At 46.7% G+C, this 18,879-nt stretch overlaps 1 protein-coding gene across 1 annotated transcript; it reads right to left on the reverse strand.

The window, feature by feature from the left end:
- Nucleotides 1-1,020: 1,020 nt before the first annotated feature.
- Nucleotides 1,021-18,484, reverse strand: LOC102723728 (nodal modulator 3-like). Its single transcript, XM_006720996.4, has 9 exons — nucleotides 18,350-18,484; nucleotides 17,044-17,171; nucleotides 15,503-15,644; nucleotides 14,511-14,594; nucleotides 12,706-12,816; nucleotides 10,326-10,427; nucleotides 7,970-8,089; nucleotides 2,088-2,180; nucleotides 1,021-1,664 (listed from the first exon to the last, which is right to left on the reverse strand). The coding sequence occupies exons 2-9, from the start codon at nucleotides 17,142-17,144 to the stop codon at nucleotides 1,533-1,535; spliced, it is 885 nt and encodes a 294-aa protein (XP_006721059.1). The 5' UTR covers nucleotides 17,145-17,171; nucleotides 18,350-18,484; the 3' UTR covers nucleotides 1,021-1,532.
- Between the last annotated feature and the right edge of the window lie 395 nt (nucleotides 18,485-18,879).

Raw genomic sequence — 18,879 nt, forward strand, 5'->3', positions numbered from 1 at the left:
GGCCCCCAAGAGCCAGGGAGTCCCCCAAGCTGACCCCCTGGGGTGGCAGTGGCACCTAACAAGAACTTCCACCTTGTTTTCCCTCTCTCCGTTTTGTCCTTTTGGACTCTGCTCACGCATCACATCCAGAAAGTTCCCTAAGCTCTCCAGTGGGATGAGAACTCTGCTCTGTGCTCCTGTGGTCCTCCATGTTCCTCCACCTGGAGGCCCTCGGCTCCCTGCATTACCCCTGTCTACTTACTGACTTGCCTTCTACCCAGTGATGGGCCATGTGCTGTGAGGGCACACACTGTGTGCCCATCTATTCATTCCTCTGTGCGTGCGTTCATTCATTCCTTACTGAATGCCCACCAAGTGCCAAGCATTGGGGTACGAAGAACAAGGCAGACGGGGCCTCCCTGGCCTCTTCCAGCTCGCTGTAGAGTGTTGTCTACCCTACTCATCCTCACATACCCATGCCTGTCCTATGTGGCACTCAATAAATGTCGGATGGATGGATGTGTCCCCTCCTTCAATATCACTTAATTCACTTGATGACTTCCTGTGAGGATTAAGTTTAGCTGTTAAAATGCTGTGACTTCCTCTGGATCTCTGATGCAAGCCGGCAACCTTTAAGCCTCACCCGGCCGACGTAGGCATTTTGTTTGGCCAAAGTGTGTGGTTTTCTTAAAAAAACACTGCATTTGTGGCTAACATTTAAAATTGGGAAAATTTCACGTAAATCTTTGTTTTTCTGGCTTCTCTAGAAAAATGAACGCACATTTCTGCACAGCAGGGGTGAGCCAGAGCTGAGTCCCTAAGCTTCCCTTAGACGTGGTGGGCACACTTCAACTTGCCACAACCTCCACTATCTCCGATTTCTCTATCACTGACGCCAAAAGCTGCTGGGGACCATGTTGGCTGAGCTCGTGTTTTTCCTGCCCCAGCCAGCTTCACTCAGGACTCTGACTTGCTCTACATTTGGCTCAACTGAAGACTCCCGGGGGTTACGTGCATGTCATCCAAGAAATACATCTATGATGAGCTACAACACAAATGAATGGGCCATTTTATTGATTTTTACCTCCTAATAGTGGATACAGGTTGCCGTGGTTTCCAGCAGGATCTCAGATGCAAAGGGAAGTGAAGAAAACAGATGAATCCCTAGGGTACCCCGCCATGGAACCAAACACCACATCAACTGGAACTCTTCTTGCAAACGAAGGCTGAAGATCAAGAATGACATTCTCACACCACAGCACAGCTTAAATACTTCTTTGACAAAAATAATAATAAATTATATTTGACTCAGAAAATAAATTCTGTTCAGCAGAGTGACAGGAGGGTCCATTCATTGCATTGCACGAGGGGCTCTACGGAGGGGTGAGGATGGGTGCAGGATGCCACAGTGACAAGGGACATGGGGTGCGGGCCCAGCAGCACAGGCTGAAGTTAGCTGACGCATGCTTTTGGCTTTTATCCCACGGGCGGGTAGTGGCCGGACCCCTGGCTGTGGCCTGTCCCAAGTGAGACTGCAACTGTCCCCTTCCTCCTCACGTCCGCCTTGTCTTCTGTTTCTTGGCTTGTCTCTTTGCATCTTCTGGGCCGCTATTGTCAGAGGCTGCCTGGCCGAGCGCGCCGACTCCCTGTAGCCGGCTTGTCAACTGCAGCAGCAAAGGAATGAGCTAGAAAAGAGAGAAAGTGTGAGAGAGAGGGGTACAAAGAGGAGGCTTTTGCCAGATGAACAGCGGAGCCTCACTTCTCAACACACCTTCTTCAGACATGATCAGCAGCTGCCACGTGCTAATGGGTGGGTTTCAGTTCAAACGAGGCAGGCCTCTTACTAATGAGTCCCCAGGGATGGGCTGGCCTCTCTCCGGGCCTAATATGTCCCTAGAGGTGTTCCAGGTTTAAGGATTAGGAGATGTTACAGAAGTTTACAGCCTTGAAAGGAGACCTAAGTCTGGACTTGAGGCCTTCACGGGCCCTCCCGACCCGGAAATGTGATTTCTGTGACCCTGGACATCCCTCTGCTATCACTCCTGCAGCTGTGAGGACTCGCTCTCCCTGACATGCCCGCCATCTCCTGAGGCCTCTGGATTTCCTACCTTGTCATGGTTGTAACCGGCCAGCAGAACCAGCAGCGTCAATGGCAGGGCAATGTAGGATCCTTGTGCGATGTCCTGTTCAGGCAGCTTCCTCTGCAAACACCGAGAGCCCCATCACTCCTCACCAAGGCCACAAGCTTGTCCATCATCCACAATGCCACAGCCACCACCCACCCAGCCTTCCAAAGTGGCCACTTGAGGACACCCAGGGGCCCTCATGATCCAAATTCCTTCTATCCAAAGGAAGGAACCAAAGTGATTTGGATGTATTTTCCCATGAATCCTCTTCTGCCCAAAGCTTCACTATTTGCTTCTGAAACTCAGGGACAAAGAGATTCCAATGACAAGGCATTCCTCAGCCTCTGGACCCTCCTCCCAACTGAGGAAATGAAGAGATGCAGCTATCAGAGAGTCTTGGTGGTTGAAAAGCAACTGGGTCTCAGTTTGTTGAGTCCCAGCAACATGCAGGGACTTAGTCCTACAAGGATGTATCAAGAACCTACAGTTCTAGACCCAGGGCACACAGTGATGGGCAGCTATTCCCAGCCAGTACGGTCTAGTGAGGAAGCAAAGCAGGCACTGCTACTAGCATCCCTGTGGCCATTCTCCCTTTCTCCCAATAGAACCCCCAACTTTTATCTGGGCCACCGACAATATAGATCACCTTTTCCAGCCTTCCCTGCAGCAGGCGCAGCCCTGGAACTAAATTTTGGCCAATGGTACAGGAACAGAAGCGGTAAGTGCCACACCCTGGCTGGACCCTAGGGAAGTGGTGTGCCCTCCCTTTTGCTGGGTAGACAGCATTTGGCCAATTGCCCCATTTTGGAGAAAAGCAATGCACTGGAACAGCACAATGAGACAGAAGGGGCCTGGGTCCCCTGACGCCTTGGAGCTACCAGACTATCTCTGCACTGGTCACTCCTGGACACTTGACATGAGACAGACATTTCCATCTTGCTAAAGCCCCTGAAATGCTGGGTTCTAAAGCATCAAGTGAACCTATATCCCATTGGCCCACTCTACTCTCATAAAGGAAGCAAATAAATGGAAGGAGAACTTCCCAATAATGATAAAAACAAGTTAATGAGCCAGAGCAGTGTTCTCAGTGTAGGATACCGGGACTCCTCTCGCAGAGGTTCCCGAGGCCACAGCTATTTTCAGCCAATAGTAAGATGTGATGTGCCTTTTCCGCCCTCTTTCATTCGCAAGCACACAGTGGACTTTTCCAGAGACTACGCACCCTGATGTCATCACGCCCACAGCTAACGGAATGTGTAGCTTGTGAGTTCTTGCGTTTTCAACATCTCGGTTTTAATTACTAATATGATAAATATACACAGAGATAATCCATGCAAACTCAAACTCTTTAAAATCCTCAATAATTTTTAACAGTATAAAGGGGTCCTGCAACCAACCCATCCGAGAACTGCTGGGCTAGAGAGTGACTGTGGGGGCCGCTGTACCTGGGATGCCCTTTCATAAATGAAAGAATAAGGGCAGGAACAGATTTCCATCAACAACTGCCTACTCCTGTATCTCTGGACATCTCTTAGAACCCAACCCATTTTTCCACTGAAGTAAACACTTACTTAAAAGTTTAATTCAGGCCAGGTGCAGTGGCTCACGCCTGTAATCCCAGCACTTTGGGAGGCTGAGGTGGGCAGATCACCTGAGGTCAGGAGTTTGAGAACAGCCTGGCCAGCATGGTGAAACCCCGTCTCTATAAAAATACAAAATTAGCCAGAAGTGGTGGTGCATGCCTGTAATTCCAGCTACTCAGGAGGTGAGAATCACTTGAACCCGGGAGGCAGAGGTTGCAGTGGGCCAAGATCGTGCCACTGCACTCCAGCAGGGGCAACAAAGCAAGACTCTGTCTCAGAAAAAAATAATAATGAATAAATAAATAAAAGTTTAATTCAGCAGGAATTAAGAGTGATTCAGTCTAGGCTCAGGTCCCAGGCCTCACTGGGTAAACTCAGGCAACCACGTTGAGACTCAGTTTACTCAACTATGACATGGAGATCATATGAACAACACCCACTGGGGGTGGATGCTGTGAAACTTGATGAAAGGAGTATGTGAAATGCTCAGCAGGGCATGGAATACTGAGTAAAATCCAGTCGCGAGGCTGTGGGCAGTCACATCAACAAAGAAGGAAACCAATGTGCTTACAAAGCCCCCGTGAACATGCAATGCTGAGCCACTCATCACGCGGAGGGCAGAACGAGGTGGAAACCATGTGGCTTGAGACAAACTGCCTCACTTGAGTCCTGGTTCTGCTAACACTCAGTAAGTGACTCAATCTTTCTGGGCTTCTGTGAAAATGGGAGGAATGGCACACCTGCTTGAAGGCTTGTTGTGAGGATCAACCTGTGAGGGCCCTGTACGGGGTGGCACAGAGTGGGCGCTCTCTTCATTCAACACTTGGCCCTGCTCGGGAATCCAAGCCCCAGCAGGCACAGCTTTTTTTTTTTTTTTTAATTATACTTTAAGTTTTAGGATATATGTGCACAATGTGCAGGTTAGTTACATAGGTATACAGGAAGGGGAACATCACACACCAGGGCACAGTTTCTTACATTCTCAGAAGTGACAGGCAGCAGCTACGAGGCTGGGCTGCTCGGCCACCACCAAGCAGTGTCTCCACATTCCTGCCACTGGCTCCCAGGTGTGTCCCTGAGCCCGGATGAGTTGTCTGCTAGGGGCCCCTGAGAATGTCACTGCCTGCAGCTATCAACGGCCTTCACAGAAGCCTCTCCCAGCAACTGGGCCACAATGCAGCCCCAAGCAAAGGTAAGTGGTTCTTGTATATGCTTATCTTTCTGGCACTTTCTTTTTTTTTTTTTTTTTTGAGACAGTCTTGCTCTGTCGCCCAGGCTGGAGTGCACTGGGGCTATCTTAGCTCACTACAAACTCTGCATCCCAGGTTCACAATTCTCCTGCCACAGCCTCTCGAGTAGCTGGGATTACAGGTGCGTGCTACCACGCCTGGCTAATGTTTGTATTGTTAGCAGAGATGGGGTTTCACTTTCACCACATTGCCCAGGCTGGTCTCGAACTCCTGACCTCAAATGATCTGCCCACCTCAGCCTCCTAAAATGCTGGGATTACAGGCGTGAGCCACCACACCTAGCCCTCTCCAGCACTTTCTAACCAGGTCTCTACTGTGAGTAACAAGGAAGTGTTTCCTCGTGGGTCATGAGAAAAACTCTCTTGTTCAGGTAAGATCATATTTACAGGCTCACTGAGCATGAATCACTCTTCACAGAAGCCCAGAATCAGCAGCAGAGCTCTGCTCAAGCCCTAGCACTGCTCCACGTGAGCTGGTGACCTTGGGCTGCTCACATCTCCTTCTAGGTTCCCATCTTCTCATCTCTAAATGAAAGGTAATTCCTGTCCACCTTCCATGCAGGATGGCGTTTGAAAAGCATGAAATGGTAACTGGATAGCATGTGGAAAAAGACAATCTGGAGCCATACTTCACATCTATACCAGGAAAAACTCCAAATGGATAGAGAGATTTAAATGTAAAAACAGAAACTATAAAAGTCTGCCTGAAAAAAACACGATAAATTCCTGTAAAAGCTGGGAATGAAGAAAACCTTCCTATGACTCTAAAATCCAGAAGCAATAAGAAAAAATCAACACATTTAACACAGAAATAAAGTAAATCTTTGCAGAAACCAAGTGAAAAGATAAATGACAAATTGGGAAAAATATGTACAACAAACATTACAAAGGGTTAATATTCCTAGTATACAAAGAGCTGAAAATGGTTGAAAAAGACCAAAAATTCTATAGAAAAATAGGTTAAATAGTTCACAGAAAATACAAATGGCTCTTAACCACATGAAAAGAGAGAAATGCAATTAGAAGTACAGTGAGATAATATCACTTCTCATCTATAAGCCTGCAAAAATTGAAAAATTTGACAAAATACTCTGTTGGGGAAAAAAGGGTACTCATTCACTGCTGGCGGGAATATAAAACAGTAAAACCCCCATGGATGGGAAGTGGCCGTATCAATCAAAATTCCGTATGCATTTACCCTTTGACTCAGCAATTCCACTTCTGGGAGTCTATTCCAAAGAGAGACTGACGAACACTCAAAAACATGCATGCGTAAGGCAATTCATTAAAGGGTTATGTGTAATAGCAGAAAACCAGTAACAACACAAACGCCCCTCAACCAGGGGCTAACTGAATATCCTACATGTAGTGCCAGGATCTGAATGTGTCTGTGCCTACGTAATTCATAGGTTGAACCCTAATCCATAATGTGATAGTGTCAAGAGGACACCCTTTTTAGGAGGTGATTAAGTCAGGGATTAATGCCCCGTAAGAGTGGCCTGAGGGAACTTGTTTGCCCCTTTCCGCCTTGTGGGGACACAGCTAGGTGGCACCATCTATGAAGCAGACAGCAAGTCCTCGCCAGACCCCAAATCTGCCAATGCCTTGATCTTGGACTTCCCAGCCTCTAGTACTGTAAGAAATAAATGTTTGTTGTTTATAAGTTACCCAGTCTAAGATACAAAATAGCAGCCCAAATGGCCTAAGACACACGGTATATCCACACAGAGGAATGCTGTGTCGTTATCAAAAAAGGAAAAAGGAGGATCGGAGGATATTGTTCCACTTACAGTTACATCTTTTGAAAACAATAAAGTTCTTATTCTGCCCACTGAAAAGGCCTAGAAGCAACAACCAACACAGTAGCTATGAGGCCAGATTTTTGTTTTTAATGCAGACTCCTGTGCTACACTTTCACCCCGTCAAGTTCAGAATCAGCAGTCCTGAGGCTGAGCCCTGGACTCTGTTTTTGCTATTGCTGATGTGTCTGTTTAATCATCAGGTGACAATACTGCATCTGAGCTTTAGGAATCACTAAACAATTTTATCAAGAAGGTAAAAGATACGTGTATGTTTTGTTTGTTCCACTGTTCCAGCCTATCGGATACAGGACAGACCGTATGCAACAGATACACATATTGCAAATAGTAAGGGCCACATATTGCAATGAATTAAGCGATAAGTTAAGTTTCTTTTAACCCACAGGTATTCTGTCCATCTGTTGTTGGTTTTTTTTTCCTTGCAATTTATTTGTCAAACAAATCAGGCTCCAGGTGGTTGTCCTGCATCCCTGTGGAGTCATTTGCGTGCTCCTGGGTCCTCCCTATTTCCTGTAAAGTAGCAGTTGGTTCTAGGGGTTTGCGTGGCCATGTACCATGTGCTCCCTCATGGAGAAGCACACGCCACACCAGCGATAGTGGTGTCCCTCCTCCCCCAAAATCATTCCTGAGCCACCGATCTAAACAATTACACTGCTCTTATTACCAGTTTCCTCCTCAAAGGGAATCGCAGGCATCAGTGCTCAGAAAAGCTAAAAACAATCTGGGGAAGCCCAGAATCCAGAAGGCAGAATGAGAAAGTGACCCAATGCCAGGAGCCCTTTAAATATCTGCCCTGCAACCTGCGACCTGGAGCACAGGTTGTATGGACATGCCTTCTTTCGCCACCCCATGGATTGTTTTGTTTTGTTTTGTTTTGTTTTGTTTTGTTTCTTCTGGAGAAAGGGTCTCACTCTGTTACCCAAGCTGGAGTGCAGGGGCATGATCATGGCTCATCGAGGCCTCAACCTCCCAGGCTCAAGTGATCCTCCCACCTCAGCCTCCTGAGTAGCCGGGACTATAGGTGCGTTCCACCACGCCCGGTTAATTTTTGTATTTTTTGTAGAGTTGGGGTTTTACCGTATTGCCTAGGCTGGTCTGAAACTCCCGGGCTCAAGAGATCCACCAGCCTTGGCCTCCCAAAGTGCTGGGATTACAGGCGTGAGCCACCAAACCCAGCCCATGGATTTTTTTTTAACTCCCTCTTTTACTTACCGTGGGATTAAAAATCAAGGTGATGTGTTTATGGTAGCCCACTGCGGTGAAAGAAACTTGAGGCAAGATGTAGTCATACTGGGATCTGGGGAGTGTGGAGTCCAGAAGCACAACATAGTTCTGTGCACACATGGGAAGAAGTTATTTTTATAAGGACAGCTCTGGCAAAGCAAATGAAAACTAAAACCTAACGTATGGCTGTGATGTAAAGAACTTTATGTTTTTAAAGAAATCCCCAAGACTACACATCCAAACCAAGGTTGCTGCCTTCAAAGTATCAACCTCAGCGGGCTATTCCATCAGTGGCGGGCATGTGTCCCCAGTGTCTCTGAGACTGTGGCTTCTGATAAGGCTGTCAGAGCCTGCAGCCTTTTTATGAGTACCCAACCTTGACAATTACGGTCCTCTGAGGATCTGACTTTATGAAACACAAAAAATTATTATGAGCCAATTCTGATGAGGGAGGTACGTGATACAACTGAGGATCCACAACGGGGCTGACTTCTAAGGGACGATGCTTGAGAGGCTCGTAAGCTGGCAAATCCTAAAAATACAGCATCCCTGGAACGGCACCAGGGGCAGCCACAGCTCTGTGTGCTGAGCACCGACCAGCTGCCAGGCACCATGCACATTGCATGAGGCCCGTCACAGCTCTGTGTGCTGAGCACCGACCAGCTGCCAGGCACCATGCACATTGCATGAGGCCCGCGGCTGCTTTGCTTTCTACCACTGGCAAGGTCGGGATCATCACCCCGTCTTATAGACGAGGAAAGTCAAGCACGAAGAGACTAAGAGTAACTTGCCCAAGGTCACTCAGCTAAGAAGGCTGCCACACATCTATGAAGGCTCTGAACTCAGGGGAAGTGTGACCCCAAAGCCCAAGATGTTTCCGCATCGCTGTAGGAAGTGACTATTTCAACACCCCTGGAGAAAGAGGAGGAGAAAATTCCGTGACAGCCTGTTTCATTATTTCGCAGCCATTTTCCACAGAGAAAGGCCAGAGTAGATCATCTTCACGGCAGGTGGTAAGGAGCCAGGAGAGGAAACGTCACCCTCTAGGCTCACACTTGACATCCTCAGGCTAAGACCACCAGAAAAGAACCAAATTCTTTGCAAAGTTTGCACTCCCCACACCAACTACAAGTTAGCTCTGTCCAAATAGAATTGATAATAAGCACTTTATAATCAGTAAATGACGGCCAGAATAATGGCTGAAAACTTCCCAGTTCCAAGGAGGGAGACATCCAGATTCATGGAACCCAAAGGACACTGAAAAGGTGGAGCTGCAAGTGTTCTACACGACACACGTTATAATCAGATTATCAAAGACAGAGAGAACGTTCAAAGCAGCAAGAGAAAAGCAACTCATCTCATTCAAGGGATCCCCCATCATGAGGAAACTGTATTTCCCTAAACTCAATAGCAGAATGTTAAAATAGAGGAATTTTTAAAAATTACAAGGCATTTTTAAAAGTGGACTTCTTAGCAGGAAAGCATGGGGTGATATGTTCAAAGTGCAAGAGTCGATCATGCCCAACAGTAGGCCTTGGTTAAATAAATCATCGCGTTTCCTAGTTTATGGACTACTGTCCATAAAAATCATAGTATGAAAGATTTGGCCAGGCACGGGGGCTCACGCCTGTAATCTCAGCACTTTGGGAGGCCGAGGCAGGTGGATCACGAGGTCAGGAGATCAAGACCATCCTGGCTAACATGGTGAAACCCCGTCTCTACTAAAAATACACAAAAAAAAAAATTAGCCGGGTGTGGTGGCGCACGCCTGTAGTCCCAGCTACTTCGGAGGCTGAGGCAGGAGAATGGTGTGAACCCAGGAGGCGGAGCTTGCAGTGAGCCCAGATTGCGCCACTGCACTCCAGCCTGGGCGACAAGGCGAGACTCCGTCTCAAAAAAAAAAAAAAAAGAAAGATTTGATGATGAGGAACAGATTTGTGATAAATTCTTCATTGAAAAGCATGGATTACAAAACAATGTACAAAACAGTGTCAGTTTTGAATTATTAAAATAAATGTCTATTTATATTTATACATGCATGCGCACACGTGCCTGAAAAAAGACCCAAAGGATACCAATCACCATGTTAGCAGTGGCTATTTCTGGATGATGGGCTTATGTCTTCTTTTTCCCAAAATCTCCTGCCATGAATATGTATTCTTTTTGTAAACAGAAAAACAATGAAGAAAAAATAATCCCTACAGAACCCAACCTCTTTTGATTCAGAGAGCGCATTTCTGCAGAGTGGTATTTAGGGAGAAAAGGAGAGAACTGTGCTTCCTTAAACTAAACAGCAGAATTATTAAAACAAAGGCAGAAGGTAGAATCCGGCCACAGGCATTACCTCGCCATCTCTGAGCAGTGGGGGGAAATGGAAGAACAGGGACTGGCCAAGGGAAACTGTCTGGATTGGATTGTCGAGGTTTTCGCTTTTGTAAAGCTTGACCTGGAGGGAGAAACAAAGTCAGACATGCTTTGAAACTGAAACACAATCAATATTTCATAGCAGACATCCTCAGGACAGCCGCTCTCTGGGTAGGTGTCTTTGGAAACATGGATATTTGAAAAAGAAAGCTCCCTCCATAGACATCACACATCCCTCTGTCATCTGAGACTCCATCCAGTTATGTATCATGCACAGAAATTAAGATTCAAATCAGATTCTGACTACCCATGTTCTTGCTCAAAATAGTAATATAAGTTAATATAATAGTAATATTAAAAATAGCTTCTAACACGTGTTGAACATCTGTAATATGCCAGGCAGGCGCCAGATATTTTATCTACATTATCGCCAATCCTGACTACAAAACAGGTATTGTTATTATCCCTATGGAGACCCAGAGAGCCAAAGTCACCTAAGGTCACACAACTTACACATGGTAGAGCCTGGGACTCAACCCCCTGACGACTCCTGAGGGTCCTTCCCGCCTTGCACTGCCTCATCATATGATGTCACCTTAACTCCACCAATCTGTTAAACTCAAAACGCATTCCATCATGTACGTGGCTCTCCACGCTGCTTCAGGAGGCACTGGAGTACTTTGTTTCTGGCTTTATTTCTGGGGTTGTTGCCTGTTCTCACTCCCACACGGGATGGGGCATGAGCAGGGTTAAGGTGCAGCCCTGGCTGATGGCAAAGGCTGTGAGGATGCCACAGTGCACCTGCCGCAAGAGAATGCCAGGACCACCTCCCTGGGCCCACACTGGCACCTTTCTACATAACACACCAGGGGAATTTTCCTAAAATGAAAGTCACAGACTGAAGGTTATGGGTCGCATTGAAGATCCCTTATGTGTTCTTTTTTCTTCTATAACATCTTAAGTAAATCTGAATTCACCGACTATATTTAAAAATCAGGTGATTTCAAATAATTCTAATTTCCAGCTTCTCCGGAAAACTGGGAAGTGACACCAACCCTGAGCCTCAATTCTAGCACAGCAACACTCAGGAGCAAGAGAGTGGCGCCCTCCCCTCCTCTCTGCCTCTTCCCCTCCCTTGTGCCCCTCATGGATGGGGCAGGAGTTCCCCAGTTTGCCCCCCACCCTACCCAACCCTCTGCACTCTCTGACATTACCTGCCTGGTCCCTACAAGCACACGCCTGCAAGCCCTGGACAGAGTGGACTAAAGCGCACACACACTTTCTCACCCATGCCAAATACTTAACTGCTTATAAAATTACAAGCGCATCTTAACAATGTACCCCCAGAGCAAATCACTAACATCCGCAGAGGGTCTGCAGGGTATTTTATAAACATTTCTTCATTAATGGTAACATGGAGATTTTGTTAGAGCTGAACAAGATTATAAGAGGTCTCTGAGTCCAAAATCTAGGTTTTGCAGAGGACGAAGTCGAGGCATGTGGAAATGAAGTGACTGGCCCAGGCAGCAAGGTGAGTCACTACTGGAGACAAGAGAAAGCCCAGACCACCTGCTCTCCAGCCCACCGTCCACCACCTCTGATACTGTTTGGATATTTGTCCCTGCCCAAATCTCATGTTGAATTGTAATCCCCCGTGCCGGAGGTAGGGCCTGCTGTGAGATGATCGGATCTTTGGGGTGGATCCCTCGTGGCTTGGTGCTGTCTTCGTTATGAGTCTTGTGAGATCTGATCATTTAAAAGTGTGTGGCACCATGCCCCAACTCTCTCTTTTGCTCCAGCTTCTCCCACATGACATGCCTGCTCCCACTTCACCTTCTGCCATGATTGGAAGCCTCCTGAGGCCTCCCCAGAAGCAGACGCCACTATGCTTCCTGTACAACCTACAGAACGAGGAGCCAATGAAACCTCTTTTGTTATAAATTATCTAGCCTCAGGCATTTCTTTAAACCAATGCAAGAACGTTTAATACGACCTCCACTCCAGAGAAAATTTTAAGTTACAAGGCGCTTTCTTTAGAATTGGCTTTCCACGTTAGATTCCATATTGTATTGATCATTGATCAGGCTTCTACTATAATTCTTTGGAAGATTAACTGATGGCAGACAGTTATCTGAAACTGGACCACATTCTCTCCCACAACTGGCAATCACTCTCCCAAATACGTGTTGTGGTCCAAGGTTCTTAAATCTCAACCTCAACCCTCAGCAGGCGGCACTCTGGAGCACCTCCACCTGTCACACCTAAGGCACGAGACAGGCACAAAACCAAAAACATCCCATTCGTACTTGTCTCAAAGCCAAAGGGAACACAATACTTGGAGCTTAAAAGTCTGGACTTACCCATAACGTAGGAAGGTATTCAGAGGAAGTGATCACATTTCCACTTAAATCAAATTGATTAATCTGCCGGAAAACTATGATGTTTACATCATCGATGTCATTATTCCCAACCTAGAGAGAGAAAGAGGGAATGCCAGTAATGAGAAAGCTGGTGGAGGAACTTCTATGCCAGCTGTCCGATGGCCTGAGAGCTGCTTCATGGCAAACTTTGCTTCTTACATTAAGGAAGCTAAGTTTGTCATTGAGTACCCTACGTCCAAGGTCACAAACCGACAGAAGATGGCTATCCCTGGCCCATAGACACATTTCATTTCGAAAGCACAGTATTTTTTTTCTACGTTTGAATTACTTGCCAACATGTTAAAAATTAGGAAATTTCATATATGAAGCCAGATTTTCCAGCTTCTCTTAAAAAAAAAGGAGAAGGATGCTCTTGCCTGTTAGAGCAGGGGCATATCCCTGGCCCATAGACACATTTCATTTCGAAAGCACAGTATTTTTTTTCTACGTTTGAATTACTTGCCAACATGTTAAAAATTAAGAAATTTCATATATGAAGCCAGATTTTCCAGCTTCTCTTAAAAAAAAAGAGGAGAAGGATGCTCTTGCCTGTTAGAGCAGGGGCAGAGTCACAGCACCCCCTCTGCGTGAGGTCTGTACATGGAGTTTGCGAGATCCCAGAGGGCCGGCCCCCTTCCCTTTCATACCTGCCCGGCCACAGTCCACATTATGCTAGTGATCCTGGCCTAAGTTACTACACCGAGAACATGCAAAGCATTTTGGTGTGAGATGCAGTCATCCCAGCCATTTAAAATGCCAACACCGTAAAGACGTCAAGGAAATCCACTTCCGGCCCGGTGCGGTGGCTCATGCCTGTAATCCCAGCACTTTGGGAGGCCGAAGCGAGCAGATCACCTGAGGTCAGGAGTTCAAGACCAATCTGGCCAACATGGTGAAACCCCGTCTCTACTAAAAATACAAAAATTAGTCGGGTGTGATGGTGTATGCCTGTAGTCCCAGCTACAGGCTGAGGTGGGAAAATCACTTGAACCCACAAGGAGGAGGTTGCAGTGAGCCGAGATCACGGCACTGCACTCCATCCTGCGTGACAGGGTGAGACTCCATCTCAAAAAAAAAAAAAAAGAAAAAAAAAAGAAAATCCACTTCCTAGGTCAAAAGTTCTATCCTCCCTCACAATCTTCATGCATAATGAAGCCACCTAAATAAAGCCACTAAGAGGCAGCCCCTCTTGCCCTACCTAAGCCCTCTAGTCTTCCCAATGAGAGTTACTCAGTAAGAGAAAAGCCTTACTTCAAATGATTCCCAGGCCACATTCTGTGACTCGAAGGATGTCCTCTTTAGGGATTAATTTAGCTAGGTCATGATCTTGAGTATCAAAAGACTCTGCCCACAAAATGGGAGCAGGAAAAAGGTCATCTGAACCTAAGATAACTGCGTGGCCCTGCCACCCATTAAGCCCATGTGCTATTATTGTCCCTTGATTTGAAATGCTGCTTAGGCCTTAAGTTCCTTAACTTGCAGAATAATGATCAGAGCTTACAGGGCAAGTCGCGGGGAGGATACAACAGTTCCAATTTCCTTTCTGGATGCATGACAGCAACGCTGTTCACTAAAAACCCACATAAGATTCTGCTTGTGAAGATGACACTATTCTAAGAGGACCCTTAATTAGGATGAAAGTTCCCCCCGCCACAGATGAAAGGCAGACAGCCAGAGGAGACGGGAGGACTTCTGATTAGGGAGGCACCCACACCCAGGTGCAGCGGCAGCACTGAATGCCTTACCTCAATCACCCTATGGTGGGGGAGCGCCCGCTCAATGTGGTCGTTGCCTTCTGCCTTGAGCTGAACGTGGTACACACATCCCGGCTGCAAAAAAACTCAGGAGTCAGTTCTCTAGAAAGGGGGCTTGTCGTATCGTGCCTGGTCCAAGCCTGGTTTGGCTGCACGAGATCATTAAGACAGGAGCATTTCTCTCCCCTCATTTCCTAATCTGTGGCCTGTTAACCTTAAGAGTCCAGAGTTCCTTTAAGAACACCCCTAGTGTTGAAACATCTGAAATTTTGCGACTCCTTCCATCCCAACTCAGTTTCATTTTCTCCTACCCCAAAATAAATCAAATTTGGTTTCTTATTTCAAAATTCCAAGCATACTATGTGCTCTTACTCTTCTAAGATGTTTTTCCTCTCCATCCACCCCTCCCCTCTACCCGTATATACACATTGATGGATATCTGGAATGTCCACCATAAGCATTCCCAAATGCTTGTGTTGGGTATTATTTCTGGGAAGTGGGAATTTCTGACTTCTCTTTTTAAAATTTCAAGGATCTGGCAACCCTGACTCTGTCTTCCCCCATGGCTACAATAAGCTGGAACCAAGTGACAGGCTGTCCCTTTCCACAGGCCGTGCCCACTCCACAGCCCTCACCACTCCCTATCATTTCGCACAGCCTCCTCTCCCCCGTTCATACTGCTCTTCTGGCTCCATAGGCGTTTGGCTTGAGCCCTGGCGTAAGCCATGGCCACATACTGCTAGGGAAAAGCCCTACCAAACCCATGGTTTTCCAACTCCATTGTGCCACAGATCCTTGATCTGACCTGTTGGCTAGAAAAAAGGCAAACTCTACCAATTAAAGGTAAGAACTGGGAGGGCTCCAGAGCCCCACCCCCAGCCCTCTCGCCCAACCCACTCCTAGCAGTCTTGGGGCCACCACAAGATACTTCTGGACACAGGATGAAAAAAAAGTCCCCAAAGAAAACACATTCCAAGTCTCACCAGCAATCCACGTAATCTGAACTTGCCCTCTTCGTCTGTCACGGTGTCTTCTCCGTAAATGCTGCAGTCGTTCTGGCCCACCGCTTCCATGGCAACCCCTTGTTCGGGCTCTCCGTTTAAGGAAGACACTGTGCCATAGCAACTAGTATGGCAAGAACAGGCACGAATGAGATATTCTCATGGTTATCTGAAGGACCCAAGTGTTTCCCGTTTACCAACAATTATGGGGCAAAATAGTTCAGGGGAGAACTGTGCCTCAATGACCCAGGCAACTCGGTGTGGCCGGCCCACTTTCAAACCACACCTTCCTGCCGGAGGGATAAGCTGCCATCAATTTCTTTTCTCATACATTTTGAGGGATGCTCTGGAAAATTGTAATTTAAGAAGGCTAAAGCTTTATTTTATTCTTTCTAGGCTTTATTTGAAATAATGGAGCTTTCAATAACATGGAAATAACTCACTTCCTCTTTCATTCCATATATTCAGTAGAAAATGGTCCATTTTTCTAAACCCAATCTTTCCAATTACTCTTCCTCTAAAGTGATTCTGTATAAGTCTACAAAAAATACACATATGTGTGTATCTGTGTGTATACATGTATATATGTATGCATCTCTCTATCTATAGATGTGTATCTTTTTTATTTTGTATTTTTATTTTTTTGTAGAGACGGGGTCTTGCTATGTTGCCTAGGCTGGTCTTGAACTTCCAGACTCAAGAGAACTTCCCACTTCAGCCTCCAAAAGTGCTGGGATTATAGGTGTGAGCCACTGTGCCTTGCCAGACACTCATGTGTATCTATCTATCTACAGCTGGGAGCATTCAGAAAAACTGGAAGTACTGGTTGTCTCCCAGAAGAGGAACTTGGGTGGCTAGGAGACGAGACAGAGGGGAAATTTTACACTATACTCTTTTCAGCATTTTGAAGTTTTATTCAACTGAGCACATTTTCTCCTTTTAATGATGTAATTCAGGTTTGAAACTCTTTTAAAAAATAAAAGTGGCCAGGCGCAGTGGCTCACGCCTGTAATCCCAACACTTTGGGAGACCGAGGCAGGCAGATCATCTGAGATCAGGAGTCCGAGACCAACCTGGCCAACAAAGTGAAATCTTGTCTCTACTAAAAATAGAAAAATTAGCCATGCATGGTGGCAGTCCCAGCTACTTGGGAGGCCAGGACAAGAGAATTGCTGGAACCCGGGAGGCAGAGGTTGCAGTGAGCCAAGGCTGCGCCATTGTACTCCAGCCTGGGCAAGAAGAATGAAACTCCGTCTCAAAAAATAAAAAATAAATAAAAGCTTTTAGCAACTCAATAGGCTCTCTCAAGCCAATTCCAAAATAGGAAATTTGAGACTGAACCACCAGGTTGAGCTCCTAGGAGAGAAGGGCAGCAGTCAAAACTCCTTTGCCCTCATATCTCATCTCCCTTCCCTCCCAAGTAAAATCAGTGTGAAGCCTGGGATGCGTTTCCAGGCAACAGAGGCCTGAATGTGATTCACCAGCCCAGCCCTGGAAGAGAGTGGGGTGGCCAGGGCACTTACCTGTAAGCGGTTCGGTACCCCGTGATGGTGATCTTCAGGTTCTGGCCTTCCTGCACCTCGATCATCTGTGAGGATGGCTCAAACCGGAACTCCTTCATCATGGGTTTGAAGTAATACTGGCCAGGGCTCTGCCAAGATAATCACACTGAGCCTCAGCAGCCACATCTAGGCATGGCTTAAAAGTGAGGGGCGAATGTCACGATGGACCAGAATTACACCAGGGGAGCGCCATGGCTTCCCTGGCAGCCAAAAATAGTAACCCTCTCTCTATAATCACCACTCACAGTCAGGTAGTGGCAATCACAACTCTAACAACGGCAGCTGATGGTATCACCTGCCTGCAATGACTCAGAGAGGTAGAAGTCATATTTAATTTTTCTTTTCTTTTTTTTTTTTTTTTCTGAGACAGGGCCTGACTCTGTCCCCCAGGATGGAGTGCACGATCACAGCACACCGTAGTCTCAACCTTCTGGGCTCAAGCAAATCTCCCACCTCGGCCTCCTGAGTACCTGGGACCACAGGCATGCACCACCATGCCCAGCTAATTTTTTTATTTTTTGTAGAGATGGGGTCTTCCTATGTTGCTGGTCTCAAACTCCCAAGCTCAAGCGATCCTACTGCCTCACCCTCCCAAAGCGGTGGGATTACAGGCGTGGGCCACCATACCTGGCTCATATTTGAATTTAATGAATAAAGAAACTGAGGCTCAGAGAGGCAAAGTAACTTGCCTGATAGGACACAGCAAGTAAGGAGCAGTCTGCATCACTGCAAAGTGGTGTCTTCAGATGCCCCCACTGCCCGGTCTCCAGTAGCCCCACCACAGCCACTTTGTCACCATGACTGACAAGATGACCAACTAACACACACTTCCTGAATCCCCACCAGTCAGGGCCTCCGACTGCATCTTGAAAGAAAAACTGCTGCTCTCTTCCCACCAAGTGGAATGTCTTTTCAGAAGAAACGCAAGCTAACCACCAAACAAGACTCAGCATCATAAACATGATTCTGTGGCAAAACGAGAAGACGCCTAAGAGAGCAGCCGTTGTGGCCAGGGAAATTAATTACACTGTCTTAGTGACAAGCGGGTGATCAGAAAACAAGAAGCGCGTGTGGAAGGGAACATGAATCAGCAGCATTAAGTTCGAGTAAGAGCAATACTCTAATGACCGTGGGCCCCCAAGAAACTGAAACCACTCCACATTGGCCTTCTCTTCTCACGTTGTCAAGCAACACATAAGTCTCGCATGCTGCATCCTGGCTCTCTCTCAGGGAAGACAGGCAGGTGGTAAATTGCAGAACACGTTACCAGGTTTGAGAATGTCAGAATGCCGTTGTCCTGGGTCAAGAGGTTGGAACGAAACAGGCCACCACTCAGGGATAAGAGGACTCCCGGGAGGGGCTGGTCATCCTCAGCTTTTATCTGGGGATGAGAAGGTGAGACCAGAGCAAGGTTAAACTCCTACTAACTATGAAAATAACAGTTCCACAAGTCAAGAGGTCATTTTTTCAAGGTTTTTTTCTTTTATTGTTACTCAAAGGAGGACAGGGGACCTAATCTTCCTCCCCACAGGTAACTACTGTTGTAAGTTTTGTAAGTTTGGTGTGTAGCCTTCTAGAACTTTTTTTTTTTTTTTTTTTGAGACAGGGTCTTGCTCTGTCACCCAGGCTGGAGTGCAGTGGCACAACCTGGGCTCACTACAACCTTCGCCTCCCAAGCTCAAGCAATCCTTCAGCTTTAACCTCCTGAGGAGATGGGACTATAGGCGCACACCACCATGCCCAACTACATTTCTGTATTTTTTATAGAGACGGGTCTTGCCACGTTGCCCAGGCTGA

Source organism: Homo sapiens, chromosome 16 (genome assembly GCF_000001405.40).
Source record: "Homo sapiens chromosome 16, GRCh38.p14 Primary Assembly".
NCBI classification, from domain to species: domain Eukaryota; kingdom Metazoa; phylum Chordata; class Mammalia; order Primates; family Hominidae; genus Homo; species Homo sapiens.